A 19,785-nucleotide genomic window follows, 5' to 3' on the forward strand; every position below is an offset into this window, starting at 1 on the left:
AAATGGAGAGGGATGCCATGCCTGTGAGAAGAAAACCCCTCAACATTAACAACTGGTTCTCTCCAAAATAATCCATGGGTTTGGTGCCTCCCAATCACAGTCTTAGCAGGTTATTTCGTAGGAATTGATAATCAGATTGCAAAATTCATATGGAAATGCAAAATATTTAGAATAGGTAGAAGGACTTTGAAAAAGAATTTGGAAGACAAATACTACCTGGTTTCAAGATTCATTATAAAGTTACAGTAGTGAAGAAAGTATGGAATTGATATCAAGATAGGCCTATAGATGAGAACATAATAGAGAGTTCAGAAATAGACCCACACATATGTGGACAATTGATTTTTGACAAAAGCAAGAGGGCAGTTCATTGGAGAAATGATTATCTTTCCCAGTCACTGGAACAACTGAATATCCATATGTGAAAACAAAACCAAATAACTTCAATCTACATATTGTACCATATATAAAAATTAACTCAAAATGGATGATAGATACAAATGTAAAACCTGAAAGCATAAAATTTCTAGAAGAAAACACAGGATCAAAAAATCTTTGTGACTTTGAGTTAGGCAAAGATTTCTTAGATGTGACACCAAAAGCAAGATCTGTAAAAGAATAATTTGGACTTCATCAAAATTAAAAACTTCGGTTCTTTGAAAGATGCTGTTAAAAGAATGATGAAAGATGTTGTTAAAAGAATGAAAAGGCAAGACTAGAAGAAAACATCTGTAAGTGAGCTATGTCTAGAATATGTAAAGAACTCTTAAAATGCAGTCATTGAGATACGGTAACCCAGTACAAATGTGCAACATATTTGAACAGACACTTCACCAAAGACAGTATGTTGTGGATGGCAGATAAGTACATGAAAAGCAACTCAACATCATTAGGGAAATACAAATTAAAACCACAATGAAGGCACGGTGGCTCACACCTGTAATCCCAGCACTTTGAGAGGCTGAGGCGGGTGGATCGCTTGAGGTCAGGAGTTCGACACCAGCCTGGCCAACATGGTGAAACCCCGTGTCTAGGACTAAAAATACAAAAATTAGCCGGGCGTGTTGGCAGGCGCCTGTAGTCGCAGCTACTCAGGAGGCTGAGGCAGGAGAATCATATGAACCCAGGAGCTGGAGGTTGCAGTGAGCCAAGATTGCACCACTGTACTCCAGCACTCCAGCCTGGGTGACAGAGCGAGTCTGTCTCAAAAAAAAAGAAGAAAGAAAGAAAGAAATACTGCAACACACTTGCTAGAATGATTAAAATTTTAAAATGGTGATGATAACAAGTATTGGGAAAGATGTGGAGAAACCAGAACTCAAGGGAATGTAAAATGGTACAATCGCTTTGGAAAACAGTTTGGCAGTTCTTAAAAAGTTAAACATATAACTCCCATGTGATCTAGTGATTTCACCGCTAGGTATTTCCCCAAGAGAAATGAAAGCATGTATACATATAAAGACCTGTATACAAATGTTCATGGTGGCTTTATTTGTAATAGCCCCAAACTGGAAAAATCCCAAATGTCCATCAACAGGTAAATGCGTAAATCACGGTATATCCATACAACAGAATATTACTAATGAAGAAGAAGGCAACTGTTGATATCTGCATGACGTGGGTGAATCACGAAATAATTCTGAATAAAAGAAGTTGGATTTAAAAAAAATATGTGATTACAATGATATAACATTCTGGGAAAGGCATACTAATCTAGAATGACAGATCAGATTGCTTGGGGGATAGTGAGGAAGGACAGGAAGGAGGGGTTACATAGGGATACAAGAAAACTTGTGGGTCATGAGTCAGTTCACTATCTGAATTGTGGCGATGATGTTTTGTGTGCGTGCACACACACATATGTATTCTCTGAAAATTGTTTACTTTGAGCACTCTAATGTAGCTGTCACTCTCATTTCTGTGACTTATTTTAGAAAGCTGTTAAGTCTTTGGGAAAGTCACTTATGTCATCAGTAAAGAATGCCACCAAAATAGCTTCTCACTTAAGTTCCCATCCCCAGAGCTAACCCACAGGAGGTTCCGATAAATTCAAATATTTAATAACTTGTATTTTTCTTTCTCCTTAAACACAGGCCCTCTGGTCCTGGAGGCAGGATCATGTGGTGGATTCTTGGCAGTCAGCAGTCTGTGGAGCTTTTGCAGGTGCAAAGGATTATATTATACTGGGAAAGACCAAAGAGGGGGAAAAATGTGAAAATATTAACTATGCAAAAACAACATTCTTTAGACATTCCAGGTTGTTTAGATGAAGAGCGCTCCACTAGTTGTTTGAGAAAAGAACGTGTCTTAGAGGGGAAAAAAAAAAAAAAACTGCTAAAAAGGTGTCTGCCTGAAAGACAACCAATTTGTTTTTGACAAATTTTTCTTTTTCTTTTTATCTTTATTAAAGCCTTCACTCAGGCCCTGGAATTACCTTAAAGATGATTTATAAAGTCCTCTGTGGGAAGAGACTTGCTGTGGGTGCAGGGCTCACCATGCAGCTGTCTGCCTTGGGCAGTGCTTAGGGGGTTTAAGCGATTTCTGCAGAAGGCCATGATTCACGGTTTGTGTGACATGTTTGACAGCACTGTAGATTAACTAGTGTCAGGAGAGCAGAGGCTCCTCCATAACTTACTGAAGGGTAAACTGTTCTGTGTAGGAAGTATGGAGATCTACACATCTGGGCATTTTCGAGACATTAAAGCAAGAGCGAGGTGACAATATGCAATACCGTGTTATCCATCACTAAGTCATATGAATTTTCAAGTGAGGCTTTAACGAGAACTCAAATGCTTTAAAGAGCTTAATAAGTGATATGTTTAAAAGCCTAAGAGAGAAGTATATTTTGTTGTTACAACGTTAAATTAGAATTATAGTTGAAATACAATGGAAATTTGCCAGAAAAGGAAACTTTTAGTTGAGATGTGAAGCCAGTAGGGGAGGTTTAGGGTGTTAACTTTATTGGAAAATAATTATTTTGCAATTTGTTTAATGGTCATTTTTGTTGTTGTTGTCGTGATTGAGAAAACAAAATGTTCATTTTATAGTACTCTTTATTAATAGACTCATTTGACTTGTAGAATTGATAATCAACAATAAGAATTTTGCCTGTAGACATGAAACCAATCCAGATTGATTATGATGATGATCGTTTCCACATGACACATAGTCATTAGCTGTGTTAAATAAGTAGGTGGTCTTGATTCATTTTCCAGAGGTCAGGAGTCATTATTCCCCAGTCCCTAAGAGAGATGTGCATTTTTGTAGACACTCTCCTGGGCCCTGGGGACAAAATGAGCGCATTATGGAAATTAAGTCATCCTGGATAAGTAAGGCTACTTTTTAAAGTTAGCAATACTATAAAACTTCCATGTGTTGAAATAAGAACATATTCTCTGGTCCTATTCCTTGAATACCCAATTCAAAGATTTGCTTGCAGAGACATTGTTACTATTAAGGAAATTTGCATTAATTACAGTTTCCTTTTCAGAATAATACTCTGTAATAGACACTAAGCACTTGTACTGTCAGAAGGAGTGAGAGAAGGGAACTTCCTATCAGACATCCTCTATCTATGTGGTAGGATCCTACCATCCAGGCCCTTTCAGTTAAGGTGACTCACCTGGGGAGTGTGGCAGCACAGCCGGTGCTCCAGTGATGCTGGGGTATGGAGAAAGGGAGCGAGGTGCCCACGGCTACACATCTAGCACAGGCTGAGCTGTGTGACTTACAGGATTCTGAAGTCTCTTTTTGCTCCCCAACTCAGGAATGAGACTTTGGGACCCTCCTGAGTGCCAGTTTCCTTACCTGTAATGTAGAAGCAACAATTCCTACCTTAGGGGATTACTTCAGGGCTTGAGATAATGTATGGTCAGTACTCTGTACTCTGCAAAACCGAGTCGATGTAAGGAATTACTACTATTTCAATAAGAACAACTAACATCCAGAAAATGAAAACCTACTTTCACAGTAATTCATCTTCTTGATTGAGTGAAGGAATGTCATATCAATAAAGTTACTGTACACAACAGTCTCCTCTAATAGCTCGTAAATTTTAAAATGCCTCCAATATAAGCATCTTATTTTTTTCTGCTGAAGTTCTGATAAGTGAAGGAGTTTGTCCAAGGCCTGCAAAAAATCTGTTGTCAGTAGAACCACATATATTTAGCAAAAGATAAATAGATTGCTTATTTATATCCCTTATTTTGAAATTTTATTTGGTACAACTGTTGATCCAGAGGAGGTTACTATTTTAAGGCATTTCTGAAGGATAAACATCACTTGAAAATATTCCCATTTGTGAAAAAGTGAGATTCTGTAAGAGTTGCAACATGGTGCCTTACAGCATATAGAGATGAAGGATGTCTTGTGAAGTCCCTTTAAAATACACGCTGCACTTGCAGACTTTACCCTTACATGGCCATAAAAGCAGTGATGAAACTTGCCCTCAAATCAGAAATCAGATTTCTCATCCCCATGTGCTTTTCCAAGTTTAAATTGGCTAAATCATTGCAGATGAACCATTCTGTGTGCCATCCTTGGCACTCTTTCTTGTTCATGCTTGTTTTGTAAACTACTTGGCGCAAATATCCAAAAATGTCCCGTGATCTTGGAGGTGTTGATGGCTTGTCATGCACAGAAATTCCCTTGGCTTCTGGTCGGGGTGAAACTAGGGGGATAAAAGGACTTTGCAACTTCCTTGCTTCGAGTTAACTTCTAAACATAAACCATAATGCAGCCTAAGTAATTATGACATTTGCTACTATAGTGGTATTTGGTACTCTAGTATATTTTGATTAGTTTCTCATAATAAACACCTCTGTACATTCTCTAGGAGAGAAGAGGGTGGGGGAGAAAGAGGCAGGGAAAGAGACATTGATTGCGATCTCTCCATGGGTTTGAAATTCGAGAACAGGGTGAGGGATTATTTGGGTAACAAATGAGAAGGCCTGACACAATCTCTATTAAAATACAAACAAAAAACACTTTCCTTCTTGTTGATGGGGAAGTCTTCCACATCTGCACACTTCACTGGAGGTCACGCACATAAGAGGGGTATGGTGGTGCTCTTCTCCCTTCCAGACTAATCAGGGGCAACGTAGGGTCTGGAGGAGCAATGAATGGCAGCAAGGTTGCCCAGGGGTGGGTTCGGGCACTTCCCCACTGCTGCCCCCACATTCTCAGCCACTGCTTAGAGGTGACAGCTCCAGCCTTATTGTAGGAAGGTGGCTACTTTGTCTTTATGGGTGTTGGGGCAGGGGCAGTTAGGGAATCTGCATTTGTTCCCCAAGGAAATAGGAGATAATAGTTTTATCATAAAATTTTAGTTTCTCCTGAATCCTGTCCTCGAAAGCAGTTAGCCTAACATTCAGTACAAACCTAACTCCAGTGGAGACCATAGAAAACTGTTTCACAGATGCTTTGAACACAAAAGCAGCCTGTAATTGCTGTACCAAATAATTATTTCCTGTCTCATATGTTAGACTGTTCCTTGTATTTATTACCAGTAGCTTACAGTGCCCTTAAATAAAACGTAGAAAATAACTACATTTTAACTGAAAGTCCTGGCCCCCAGCCCTTCCCCGTTATGACCATTATTCTATTCTATTATCTTCACAAGTCCTCCTTACAGCCTTACAAAAGCATTGTGAGGTCTGTGAATTAGAGAAATCTTTGATAGTTGAAGACAGGCAAATTGGTCTATTAGTAACACATAAAATACAACTTCTCTCATGGTAGTAAAGTTAGGACCTATTGAAGCATACATGTTTCTGTCTGTAACTTTTCTTCATATTACTTTCATGAAACCTAAATCTCCAAGAGAATATTGGTAGGCATCCCCACTAAAGGAATGGTAAATCTTTGCTAATGGCCAAAATAAGTTTGATTTGCAGTAACTAAATTTATTAGATGTTCCTTATCAACCTTTAGGTCTTTTTAATTGGTTTAGGATCGTTTGTGAACATTTTCACATACGAAAGTGGGTTTAACAATTGGACAAATTTTAATTTGTCTTATATATCAAAGTCATTATGTAGTGGAACGAGCATTACTTTTGGAGTCATCATACATGTGACAGTCCCAGGTCCCGCACCAGCTGTGTGGCCTGGGCAAGTAAGTTGGTTGTAAAATGAGAATAGTAACACCTATGCAAATGAGATCAAATAATCAATGAAAGTGCCTAGTGCATTCCTGGCATGCCAGATACGAAGTAAGCACTGCAGATATTAGCTCCTACCTTTACCTTTCCCTGCCTTTTAGAGGATGAGTTGAAATTTTCAGTTTATAAAAACTATAGACCAGGGTACCGATTAAGCGTTTTCGAGTGCCTGCTGTGAGTGTGCTGGTCTAAAGATACGAAGAAAAAGCACTCATTAGCTCTGGCCACCAAGGAAAGAGTTAATTATTTTGTGATTACTGCTGTGAGCCAGATGCTGTTCCAAACATGTTGCGTAGGCCCATTTAATTCCTGTGTCATACTACTATCTGCATTTTACAGATCAGAAAACTGAGGCCACTAGGAGACCAGTGGGTAAGAGTCCCAGTTCCAGAGTCAGTACAGGCTTTAGATCCCGTCTCAGCTCTGCACTAAGTAAAATCTTCAAGTTTTTAGCCTCCATAAGCCTCAGTTTCCTCACCTGTAGCATGGGGATGTAAGAGTTCCTAGCTCATAAGGTACTTCAGCCACAGAATAAGTAATTACCTAAGGCTAGACACCTGGTAGAACTGGGATTTAAGCGTTGGTCTTTCCAACTCCAAAGAAGGGTTCTTTCAGGCTAGACCGTGCTGCTGGTAAGGGAAACAAAACCAAATCTGTTATTTTGGTGTATGGGAAGTTTGGGATAGTAAAGTTTGTTGCCTTTGTGTCTTGTGTCTTTTTTCCTTTTCTTCCTTTCTTGGGGGAGATAGATAGATAGACAGACAGACAGACAGACAGACACAGAGAGAGAGAGAGAGAGAGAGAGACAGATAGTGTTCATGGATCCTGTTATGTAACTAAAAGTATATTTACTTTTCCAGGGCAGAATATATGGTTAAAAGAGTAGGATTTCAAGACCAAGTCCACAAAAATTTAAAAGACACAAAGCTTAGCAAGTCTCTGAATTTCAGACAACCTCTGGATAGGAGATGAAGAGTTTTACATAGTCATAATTTGAAATGGCTAAACCCAAGGGGATTCAAATATTCATGTCAGTTGATAGTATTACCCCTAAGGTGTGTGACATTCAGGGGTAACCAGAAATGGACCATGAGGGCATAAATAGGTACACCTTTCAAAAAGTCAGTGTCATAATCAGTGTTACCATATGGAGGAGGCTTGGTATAATCTTATTTCAGCATCATAATTAGATATTTGGCAGAGATCAGATGACCTTCTTGTCCACAAGCCACAAAAGCGAGAAGGAAAGTAGTGCTATTTCTGGAGTATCCTTCACACACGGGTGTCCTGTTGCCCTTATAACACTGCCTCTTTACCCCTAGCTCATGGAAGCTGAATCTTTGTAATGCCTTTTAGGATTTTTATTATTTCTGTCTCTGTAGGGCCTCTTCGGATTTAGAATATATCTTTGTACTGCATTTTAAATGTAATATTGACACCATAAACTTGGTTTATGTTAAAACAGAAAGTCCTTCAAAAAGTCCAATCTGTGTACAGTTCAGCCATCACGACATTCAGATAACGCAAACATGAGAGAGAAGGTTAGGAAGGAAGCCATAATGTGGAATGTGTGCTGAAGCGAGACTCAGGCTAAGAAGATGTAGAAGAGAGCTTAGAAAGGTAACTTTGACTAGCCTGCTGTCAGGAGCCCGTGAAACACAAAAAGCTTTGCTCCTTTAATTCAAAGAATCCAGCCATGTATACCCAAAATCCCCACAATGTCACATGTGAGTCTGTTTGTCCATTTTGCTATATGCAAAACAGAAATGATAGACGCATTTTGGAGTCACTTTAAAGAACAGTGGTCCAGGCTGGGCGTGGTGGTTCATGCCTGTAATCCCAACACTTTGGGAGGCCGAGGCAGGAGGAGTGCTTGATGCAAGGAGTTCAAGACCAGGCTGGGCAACAGAGCAAGACCCTGTCTCTATAGAAAATTTAAAAATTAGCCAAGCATGGTGGTGCGCAGCTGTAGTCCCAGCTACTCAGGAGGAGGCTAAGGTGGAGAGATCACTTGAGCCTAGGAGGGTGAGGCTGCAGTGAGTTATGATCACACCACTGCACTCCAGTCTTGGTGAGACACAGTGAGACCCTGTCTTTTCAAAAAAAAAAAAAAAAAACAAAAACAAAAAAAAAAAACAAAAGACAGTGGCCTATAGAAAGTCATGAACCCTTTGAGAACCATTAGGAGCAGTGTGTCTCACATATTGAGAGTGGGCATCTGGCCACATACATGTATGTCATGTGTACACATTCATCATGTATGTAAACATACACACTCATTAGTTTGCTAGTTAATGAAAGAGCAAGATAAATTGTGGAGCCTTGTATTTTTCACCTGAGTGGGTAGAGCATTTTCTTCTCTCATGCAGTTCTGTATCGCTGCAAAAGAAATGAAGCGTGTGGATAAAGATTGTGCATGTGTGCATCCTGTTCTTCAATCAGCCAGGTGTACATAATGACGAAGTGATTTGGGCAGAGTCAGGAATTCTAAAAATTACAAAATTATACAGTAAACAGGATCTCACTTGGGTGTTGGGTATTATTTGTACAGGTGGATTTGCCGCTGCAGTCACCACCCCTCTAGACGTGGCAAAGACAAGAATTACGCTGGCAAAGGTAAGTGGTGAAATAATGTAATGGAGATACTTCAGATGCTCATATCTGTTAGCACTAGGACTACAGGTGTATAAAGTGAACACAAATGGCTACCATTTACCTGTAATAGCATCTTATGCTGCCTGTGCAACCTCTAACAAAACTGCCATTGATGGAACAATGTCCCCAGTGTCTACATAATATTGTACCATTTCACAGTCATTTTCACATAGGGCTGGTAGAGCCACTGCCTGGCAGTACCATCTTCAAATAAACTCTGTTTTTACTGGTGACAAACCTAAGGGTCAGAGAGGTTGACGAGCCTCCTGCTATGTGGCAGGTAAGTGACAGGCTTTGAACCTAGGGTCATGGTTGGCCTTAACTGGATGGGTTAAGACAGTTGTCAGAAATGTTGAAACCATTTTGTTTAAGAGAAAAATTGTTTTAAAAAACCCTGCTAGATAGAGAGTTGAAAGAATGCCATACGTATAACATACCTGAACTGAACCAAAACAAAAAAGTCCTATCTTTGTGGAAAAGTAGAACAAATAATGGGCCAAATTTTAGTATGGAGGTGGCAGGATCCAACCTAAGAATGTTAATCACGTTTTAAATGGAACATTTAAACGGCACTCTATTAAATATGCTTATTAGCTGCTTATGCAGGTTTCATAGTTGTACCATTTACACTAATGATTCCCCGCCCTCCTCACATTGCTTCATAGTGCTTCTGTCTTTCTGCTGTTAAATAGTTCATCAGTCATCTCGTGAGCTCTGATAAGCAGCCACCTGTGTGGCATGGGCCACATCCCTGCTTGCCTGCATATCGGAGTGTAAGCACTTCTGGGCGAGCGAGCCAGGTCCTGATTGCCAAGAAACTCCCTGGTATCTGACACTGTGTTCTAGATGAGGGTGACGGGGAGCTGTGTGTCTGAGGATATCTGAGAGGCAAGTGTGTGATTGGGAGCTTCAGAAGATAACGGGTTTCTCTTTGTCTGTTCACACAGGCTGGCTCCAGCACTGCTGATGGGAATGTGCTCTCTGTCCTGCATGGGGTCTGGCGGTCACAGGGGCTGGCAGGGTAAGACGAGGAATGCCCTCCTTCCTTTCTTCCTCTCCACCACTCCTCCTCCTTTAGCCTAACTTTGGATGAACACCTCTCCTTCCCTTCTGCTTATGTTCTGCTTTGAGTTTCTATTTATTGTGCAAAATATTATAGTTGATGTTGTATATATGAGATAACATAGCAAATCAAATTGACGGATTATTCCAGCCAGGCAGTTCTCAGCCTTGCCCATCTTGATGTTAGATGAAATTCACATGTGTGGCTCTCACCAGGGTCTGGGCTGCAGCAGTGATAAAATGGGCTTCTCAGAGGTTACACAGTGCAGAAATACAAGGGAGTGAAGGGAACATTGTTAGAAGAAAGCATTTGTGGTTTTGATGCTTTTAACTATTATTAGTAACAAATTACTTTGAACATACCATAGTGCAGGTGGGATGACTCCACTATTAGCATCAATTGAGAACCATTGTGCTACAGAAGTGCCTCAGACTTCTAGCTTCATGTCCTAAAAGCTCTCTCTGCAAGATTAAAACATTGCTTTGACACCATAAACTTGTGAAGCCGCCTGAATGTTGAGATCTTACAGGCATGTGAAATGATGATTTTTCTCTTAGGGACCATATACCAGGGATTTTCTTGCAAGAGCAAAGCAGTGGCCTCCCTTTGCAGAGGGTCGGTCGGCAGCTGCCTGGACTTCGGGCGTCTCAGCTGGCAGTGCCACCTCCTCATCCTGATGCCGAGTTGGATCACTTATGTGATTGTAGTTTTTGTGTACCTTTGGCAGTTTTAATCTCAGCTATTTGATGATCTGGAGGACATGAAGTAGGTGAGTCAGGACCCAGTTAAGGTTTTTATAGGAGAGCAGCACATCCTAGATTGAAATTTTCCAGTTGGAAGTTTGAAAAGTAGGTGATATTGGATGGTTTTGTTGAATGTGACAACTCTGAGGGATTGACGTTGGGGGTGTGAAGGGTGTCACGGTTTTGAAACAAGAACTGGGGCAAAGCCAGAGGAATAATTGGCTGTTGACGTCTAGTGAGAGCGTGGGAAGGGCCTAGTGGGGGGCATGTGTGCTGGGAGCCTGCCACTTAGGGCTGCCATATCGTGAGGGGTGCTTCTATCTGTGGCACATTAATTCTGCTGCCAGTTCCACAGCAAACAAAGGAATGGGGTGAGAAAAAATGAGTCCTGAAGCTACTTAGCCAGTAGCAGGTAAAAGGTGCTTAGGGGCCGGGTGCGGGGCTCACACCTGTAATCCCAGCACTTTGGGAGGCTGAAGCAGGAGGGTCGCTCGAAGTTAGGAGTTTGAGACCAGCCTGGGCAATATGGCAAGACTCTGTCTCTAAAAAATAAATAAATAAATTAGCCTGGTGTGGTCGCACGCACCTGTAGTCGCAGCTACTCAGGAGGCTGAGCAATCGCTTGAGCCCGGGAAGTCGAGGTTATAGTGAGTTACAACTGTGCCACTGCTCTCCAGCCTGGGTGACAGAGCAAGACCCTGTCTCAAAAAAACAACAACAAAAAAGTTCTTCTGTGTTTCAAATAGCAATTGGGCTACATACATGGAGAAGTCACATTCAGTGGCTTTTTTAGACTGTAAAACCAAACTGCCAAATTTCACTGTCCTACTGATTTCAGTGTAGTTCATGTTTGATTCTGTGGCAACTGTTGGGCAAACCACTTCAATTGACCTTAGCTTTGTGGAGCTGTGCAGAGCTGCAGCCCCTCAGCCTTTTCTGGAGACAGTGGTGGCAGGTGGGGATGGCATGATCGACTGGCAACCCCATGGCCCCAAAAGCTGGTAGGAGTTATGTTGAGTAGATGATTGAAGATAGTCTTCCCTGTCCTGGTTGTGGCATGTCTTATACTTGACGTTATAATACTAAGCAGTGCCAGAAATACAGGCAGAGGAGGGGTGTCTTCCTCAGGTCAAGGGCCTGTCCCTGTCCCCATTGTCAGCTCTGTAAAGGTCATGTGGAATTTTTTTTGCTTATCTATCTTCGGAAAGTCTCAGAAGTCATGGGCTCTAGTCAGTCTGTACAGTGTAGTCCCTAAGAGCATTACAGACAGCAGCGGTCGTCACTTAAGGGAGTTTTGATTAGCCACTTATTAATGATTAAAGACAATAAATAATTTGACTAAAAAACAGTCACAGAAAAACCTGGGTGGCTGTTGTGAACAGAGGTCCCAGGCACCCTCAGCCTGAAGGTATCTCTGCCAGCTTCCTCTGTGCTCCAAGCACACAGCGCTGCTGCCACCTCCTGTCTCCTCCCCGGGGCGTGCACTAAGTTTACTAGGTACTACTTGGGTTTTCCAGCAGACACCATCTCCTCACCTTAGGATGGAATGGTGCTGCCCTCTCGGGGTCAAGTCAAGTGGCGACCACTTTTATCTTTCCGTGTGGTCCACGCAGGTGAAGACCTTGTTCTGGCGCATATGGGAGTACACATATAAACAGAAATATATTACTAAACAAACACCGCGTGTTCATTCAGCCCCGTAGCCAAAGGCAGATGGGGAGCCTGCCCACCCCGGATGGCCCCTTTCTGGTTTTCTTCACTCATCAGCTGGCTTTCTGTTTTTGTTGACTGTGCCCTTTATGTAGTAGCTGCCACTGCCGCGAGCATCCCTTTCTGTCTGGCATTGTAAGTGCTTACGTTTGCTCTCATTTAATCTGTGGGCACTAGAACACGCTCCTGCTCAACTCAAAAGTCTTCACCTGCGAGACTGGCTGGGGCCCTCACTGTACAAATTACTCCACGTTAAGGCCGTAATTACGTTAATAGATTCAGTGGTCATCTGTTGAAACCATAAACTGCTTCCATCTGTGTCTTGCCAGGAGCAGCTGAGCTTGTGAGTGGCAGAAGCTGAACAAGACACTGGCGTTTAGAAATAAGTAAGGTAGTAAAGGTGGGAGAACTTTGTGGCCAGAGTGGTCTCCCACAGCTCGGCATCTGCTGGCCGCCTGTCTAGCACTCTTTCCTTCGTAAGGTAGGAGCAGGGAGGCTCATCTGTCTTTCAGGCAGGAAGGACATAGTGGTAATTTATAAGTTTCTGTCCTCACCACCCACCCTTTGCATGATGCTGATTTTTTTTTTTTTTTTAAGCAAGTGTAGTTTGGTTTTCAATACAATTTTCATGGTTATTTTTGGACAAGTAATCGTGGTCCTTAATTTTATGTGCAGTATTGTAATGATTTAAACCCATAGCTAGCTAACTAAAAAGGGCCCACAAAACTCTTCTTAAGTGTCTCATTTTCCTTAGAAGTGCCAAGTGCTGCAAACAGAGGGAGGCTGCTCAGCCTCCCCCAACAGCTCAAAGGTGTTGGGAGAAAGGATGCAGTCAGGTGCTGGGAGCAGCCTGCAGGGACCGTCTTCCTGCCATGTTTCTCTCCAGGCCACCAGCTTGCTTGTCATGGAGGCTTTTCCTGTATCTTAAAGGATGCATAGCTACTGTTGGCATACTTGACCATTTTCAGTTTTCTTCCATAGACCTGACCAGAAGTCTTTTCACTGGCATATGCACTAGTTTTGCCTTCATTAACTCTTTCTGCTTACAGAAGTAATACAGGCATATTTTGTTTAATTGCACTTCTCAGTGCACTTTTTTTCCAAATTGAAGGTTTGTGGCAACCCTGCGTTGAGCGAGTCTTGCAGAGCCCTTTTCCAATAGCACATGATGACTTTGTGTCTGTGTCACATTTTGGTAATTCTCACCTGTCAAATATTTTCATTATCATATCTGCTGTGGTGATCTGTGATCAGCCGTCTTCGATGTTACTGTAATTGTTTTGGGGCATCACCCACTGTGTCCACCGAAGACGGCAAACTTAATCGACAAATGTGGTGTGGGTTCGGGCTGTGTCTCCAACCAGCCATTCCCTCTCTCTCTCCCTTAGGCCTCTATTCTGTGAGACACAATATTGCAGTTAGGCCAATTAATAATCCTCCAGTGGCCTCTAAGTGTTGAAGTGAAAGGAAGAATCACACCTTTCTCATTTTAAATAAAAAACTCGGGCCGGGCATGGTGGCTCACACCTGTAATCCCAGGATTTTGGGGGGCCAAGGTGGCAGATGGCTTGAGCCCAAGAGTTCAAGACCAGCCTAGGCAACATGCCAAACCCTGTCTACAAAAAATACAAAAATTAGCTGGCCATGTTGGTGTGTGCCTGTAGTCCCAGCTACTTGGGAAGCTGAGGTGGGAGGGTCACCTGAGCTCAGCAGGTAGAGGTTGCTGTGGGCCACGATCGTGCCACTGCACTCCAGCCTGGGTAACAGCAAGACCCTATCTCAAAAAAAAAAATTAATTAATTAAAAATAAAAGCTGGAGATGATTAAATTTAGTGAGGAAGGCATGTGGAAAGCTGAGATAGGCCAGAATCTAGGCCTCTTGTGACAGTTAACCAAATTGTAAATGCAAAGGAAAAGTTCTTGAAGGAAATGAAAAGTGCTATCCAGTGAATACACAAATGATAAGTGTAACAGCCTCATTGCACATACGAAGAAAGTTTGGTCTGGATAGAAGATCAGACCGGCCACAACATCCCCTTAAGCCAAAACCTAATCCAGAGCAAGGCATTAACTCTCTTCCCTGAAGGCTGAGAGAGGTGAGGAAGCTGCAGGGTTTGAAGTTAGGAGAGGTTGATTCATGAAGTTTAAGGAAAGAAGTCATCTCTGTAACACAGAAGTGTAAGGTGAAGTGGCAAGTGCTGATGGAGAAGCTGCAGCAAGTTACCCAGATCTAGCTAAGATCATCGATGAAGGCACTAACACTAAACAACAGATTTTCAGGGTAGATGAAACAGCCTTCGATTAGAAGAAGATGCCATCTAGGACTTTCCTAGCTAGAGAGGAGACATCAATGCCTGGCCTCAAAGCTTCAAAGGACTGGCTGACTCTCTTGTTAGGGGCTAATGCAGCTGGTATCTTTAAGTTGAAGCCAATGCTCATTGACTCTTCTGAAAATCCTAGAGCCTTTAAGAATGGTGCTAAATCGACTCTGCCTCTGCTGTAGAAATGGAACAACAAAGCCTGAGCGACAGCACATCTCTTTACAGCATGCTTTCTTGAATATTTTAAGCCCACTGCTGGGACCTAGTGCTCAGAGGAAAAGATTCCTTTTAAAATATTTCCGCTCATTGACAGTGTACCTGGTCACCCTGGAGTTCTGCTGGAGATGAATGTTGTTCTCATGCCTACTATCAACATCCATTCCTTAGCCTGTGGATCAAGGAGTTACTTTAACTTTCAGGTTTTATTAAATTTCATAAGGCTACAGCTGCATCAACAGTGATTCCTTTGCTAGATGTGGGCAAAGTAAATTGGAAGCCTTCTAGAAAGGAGTCACCATTCTAGATACCAGTAAGAACATTAGTGGCTTCATAGGAGGTCAAAATATTGACCATGCTGGGACTTTGGAAGAAGTTGATTCCAATCCTCATGGCTGACTAGTGGAGGGAAACACATACTAGATGTACTGGAAATGGCAAGACCACCGTAGTCAGAAGTGGAGCCTGAAGATGTAAAGAATTGCCACAATCTCATGATCAAACTTGAACGGATGAGGAGTTGGTTCTTATGGGTGAGCAAAGAAAGTGATCTATTGAGATGAATCTACTCCTGGTGAAGATACGGTGAACACTGTTGAAATTACAATAAACGATTTAGAATATTTCATCAATTTAGTTGAGAAAACAGTGGCAGAGTTGAGACGGTTGACTCCAATTTTGAAAGAGGTCCTACTGTGGGCAAAATGTATTGTGTGCTACAGAGAAATCTTTCATGAAAAGAAGAGTCCATCAATGCAACAATTACTATTTTTAGAAATTTCCACAGCCACTCCAACCTTCAGCAGCCACTACCCTGGTCAGTTAGCAGCCATCATTCAAAGCAAGACCCTCTATCAGCCAGAAGATTACAATTTACTGCAGGCTCAGATGCTCATGAGCATTTTTTAGCAATAAAGCATTTTAAAATTAAGGTATGTACAATTTTTAGACATAATTGCTACTGCATACTTAATAGACTGTAGTAGAAACATAACTTTTCTGTGCCCTGGGAAACGAAGAAATTTGAATGGCTTGCTTTATTGCAATATTCACTATTATGGTGGCCAAACTTGGCCTGGGACCAAACTTGAAATATCTCTGAGTCATGCCTGTACTCTTGGTGAAAAGGTTCAAAGGTTATGGAAGCGTGGGCCAGGAATGTGTCCTATAATCCACAGGCAGCAGGCATTCAGTTTAGGGCTTAAGACACATCCCTGGCTTGCCTTTTAGATATGGAATCATAGTCCTTGGACTTAGTTTTTTAAACCTGTTTTGTAATTTTTTTATGTTGGCATCTGTAGATTTCCTCATCTTTATCAGCTACATAATCATCCACTGTATGTTTATACTGTGCCATAACTTATATCACCATCAGCAATGCCACAATGAAAATTTTTGAACAAATATCTGAGTAGGTATGGGGAGGGGGGGCAGTTTTAAAGAATGAATCCCCAATTTGTATCCTCGTGGCATTGTAGTTTTACTTTGCATTGCTCTGATTATTCTACATTGCACCTTGGCTGGTTAGCAGCACCTTCTGTGATACCAAGGGGACTGTGCAGGTGGAGGCATGCTGCCCCCTTCACAGCCACAGCCCATTTGCCTTTCATGCCTTTAGACAGAAAAGGAACACAGGGAATCCATGGAGGTTCAACTCGTTGTCGTGACGTCATGTTTTGGGGTCTCGAAGGACAAAATGCAACTGAGTCAGTGGGTGGAGCGGCAGCATTGCCCAAAAATCTCTTCACTGAGCAACCCCTGGAGATCACTTTAGAGGTGTGGGCTGGAAGTGCCTTCCAGCCTTACCTAGGATTCAGCTCTTTAACACCTTTTTAAAAAAAATCAATTTCATGTTTCAAAGGGAAAAATGGCATGAAAGTTTTAGAACTACTGTTGGGACACAGCTATTACTTGCCTTATTTGGGAGCGTTCACAAGCTGTTTGGTAGTTAGCCACTAATGAGCATGGTGTATTGAGCTGAGCAAGCTGTGGGTATTGGAATTTAACCTTTTTTTAAAATACGCACAACATTAAAAATCCTGTTTTTTCCCCTAGATTATTTGCAGGTGTCTTCCCTCGAATGGCAGCCATCAGTCTGGGAGGTTTCATCTTTCTGGGGGCTTATGACCGAACGCACAGCTTGCTGTTGGAAGTTGGCAGAAAGAGTCCTTGAAGCAGAGACAAGCCTCACCTCCACTTCTGTCAAGAGAGGGGCCTGCAGTGCAAACCCTCTTCCGCTGAGCAGCTGTCTGAACTATAGGCCCCAGTGCTGAAGACCAGTTGTGCTAAGATACCGGCATGGAGATTGTGCCATCCGTGGTATAGGCTGGCTGGTATGAAGTCATTGGCCTGTATGCCAGAGAGCTAAGAGAAGAAAACGGGGTCTGTGGCGGTACTCTGAACAATTTCCTCAGAACCTCTTAATAAATAAGTTTGGTAATGCTGAGGCCAGGCCTTTTAGAGCTTTCATTTGATCTGTATCTGATCTTTCATTTCCTGCCACCTGATGGTGGATTCAGCAGAAGGCAAGATGGTTATAATTCTAAAAGAATAGCTTGTTTGTTTGTTTGGGAAAAGGAGACTTGGGGAAGAGTTGTGTATGTGGGTGTTTCTCCCCCTAGTTAATTCCTGTTGTGTAAGGGTAGGCTTTGTTGAAAAAGAAAGAAAGATTGAACTACAGGTGCATAGCAAGCACTCTTTCTGGGTAACTAGGCTGCTGGTTTTAATTACCCTCAGATTTCACCCATAAAAACGCACAATTGTATTATTTTACAGAGATGTGTCCAGCGCCCCCTGTGGTGTGTGAGAGAAAGCAGCTGCAACTCAAGTGACTAGGTGGGCCCAGCTGGCTTCGTGCAGGAGGGCACGGTGGGTGAGCCATTCTCGCCATTCTCATGTCAGACTGAAAGGAGGGCCTGGGCCAGCTTTGAAAAGGCAGGATGAAATGGAAAGGTCACCACACTTAGGGATTTTAGACCTTGACTAACAAGCTCCAGGTGTAGAAAAATTCAAAACAAAATGTCAGGAATCTAGCAGTGTTGTCTGCCCTGGAGCAAACAAACAGTATGTGATTTTGCTTCGCCTATTTTTTTTTTCTTTTTTGGGGGAAGATAATTAAAGGCAGAATGACTGCGTTTGTAAAAGAAGGACCACCAACTATACTGACATTTATAAATGAACCTTTATTAAAGACACTTCAATGCCATTTGTTAGACACTTCAATATTTTACATGGTTTTCAATGTACACTGTACCAAAATTTCTATAAATAAATAACTTTGTACATAAAAGTAATACTCCCTCTTTCACATTGCCTCTCAGAAGCAGCAAATTCACATATTTTGTGGAAGTAAGATTAGTCAGTTAACTGTCAAGAACAAAATTCTAAATGTGCTTACCTTTTGAACAGTGATGACACCTGACAGTAATTGTTAACTATTTTCTCAGTAACTCCCTTCAGCTTTTGGCCAAAGGAACATTTGAAGGACCTTGTTTCTATTTAAGTTTTACTAAATGACACATTGGCACTCATAAGATGGTTAGCTACCAGTCTCAAAAGTGCAAATTATACCCAGAACCCAGGTCAAGGGCTGTCCTTTCCAGTCCCAGCTCAGTTTCATCTGTGCGAAGGAATGGCATGGACAGGCCTGCTCTGGGTCCTTAGTAGAAATAAGGTAGCCCTGAAAAGTCAGAACTTCCTCCTTTCTGTCCCCCAAGGCCAATGTAATACTCATTATATTGGCAAAACGAAAACATCAGTATAGAAAAATCCACAGGTACCAACACCAGCAGCCTTTACCTTAATTTAAAAGTCTCAAATAGCAATCGAATGATACTGAGAAGGCCACATTTGCTTTTATCATAAAATAAGAGGAGGAGGAAAGGCAGTGTTTAACTGTTCTGACCTTTTGCTTGTGATGGATTAACAACCCTCATTCTACGCCTTACAGACGGACAGATTCTACGCCTTACAGACAGACAGGACTTAAACCTAAAAGGAAAAGCCATTCACTGCAAGTGTGGATGGCACTTGCACCCCTGGCTCTACAGACAGGGAAGCCTGTTGCAGGGGCATCCACACATGAGCAGTGCTCACCTGAAGCTCCTTCCGGCGCATGTGGAGTCCCACCGCACAGCAGCCTAGGGGTCTATGAAGTGCAATATAAATCCAAGGCCTTCCATCCTTCCCACCCCGCACCAAAAACTCCTGTGAACAAATGTGGTTGTAGCCTCTATAAATTCCAGCCATGCGTTAAGGCACCAGAACTATTTCCCCACCCCCTCCAAAATTAAACAGCAACCTGATACGAAAAATAATATTGTCAAAATTGTATAATTTTTTTCTGTTAACCATGCACTAAAGATTAAAATAGCCTCTGTAAAAGATATATATGAAATCTCTGAAAACTCTTATGTACAATGATATCAAATACTTTTTTTGCCTTTTGTACACAAATCCCCTCTTGCGTTTACTGTGCTTCAGATCCAAGTCCTGTGAGCGACTGATACTCCACATGGGAGTTACAACTATGTACAGATGAGTGACGCTTGAACCCAAGCTTCCTCGCAGCCTCTCCTACCTCTCTTTCCCGTAGAGATTGGTATGACAAGAACTGAGGTAGACAAAACCTAGCTTTTTGGTGCCAACAGCAGTGGCACCCTCTGTTTCCCGGGGAGCTGTCCTGTCAGTGGCGTGGACTCGGGACTGGCGTCACATGCTTTGGGGAGGTGGCCATTGGAAACAAGCAAGTACTGGGCTTCCGCGCGCTCTGGACTGCCTGAAGTTAATGAAGATGCAGGCTGTAGCTCTGTGGAGTCCGGGTGATACAACCTTGCTAAAGTCCAGGAAGAATCCCCTACAAGGAAAGAACGAACCTGTCAGACCCCCACTTGACCGTTTAAGCAGCTCCCAACCCAC

The 19,785-nt window shown here is 42.2% G+C and overlaps 2 protein-coding genes across 35 annotated transcripts in view; one reads left to right on the plus strand and one right to left on the minus strand.

Moving 5' to 3' along the window:
- Positions 1 to 18,161, plus strand: part of SLC25A26 (solute carrier family 25 member 26) — a 245,318-nt gene extending 227,157 nt beyond the window's left edge. For 8 of the 25 annotated variants that reach the window (NR_174576.1, NR_174568.1, NR_174574.1 and 5 more), the window contains 4 exons: positions 2,094 to 2,163; positions 8,712 to 8,776; positions 9,763 to 9,836; positions 16,924 to 18,157. Coding sequence is in view for 9 of the 25 variants with exons in the window: in NM_173471.4 (NP_775742.4) it covers positions 2,094 to 2,163; positions 8,712 to 8,776; positions 9,763 to 9,836; positions 16,924 to 17,041 (327 nt within the window). In the remaining 16 variants the exon portion in view is untranslated. Of the gene's footprint in view, positions 1 to 2,093; positions 2,164 to 8,711; positions 8,777 to 9,762; positions 9,837 to 10,435; positions 10,648 to 16,923 lie in introns of those variants that run through there. The other 17 variants (NR_174575.1, NR_174567.1, NR_174570.1 and 14 more) reach the window with 7 other exon arrangements.
- Positions 18,031 to 19,785, minus strand: part of LRIG1 (leucine rich repeats and immunoglobulin like domains 1) — a 122,325-nt gene continuing 120,570 nt past the window's right edge. For all 10 annotated transcript variants that reach the window (NM_001377345.1, XM_047447939.1, NM_001377344.1 and 7 more), the window contains one exon: positions 18,031 to 19,723. In NM_001377345.1, coding sequence (NP_001364274.1) covers positions 19,497 to 19,723 — 227 coding nt within the window. In that variant the 3' untranslated portion in view covers positions 18,031 to 19,496. The remainder of the gene's footprint in view (positions 19,724 to 19,785) is intronic.

The sequence above is a fragment of the Homo sapiens genome, chromosome 3 (assembly GCF_000001405.40).
Source record: "Homo sapiens chromosome 3, GRCh38.p14 Primary Assembly".
NCBI classification, from domain to species: domain Eukaryota; kingdom Metazoa; phylum Chordata; class Mammalia; order Primates; family Hominidae; genus Homo; species Homo sapiens.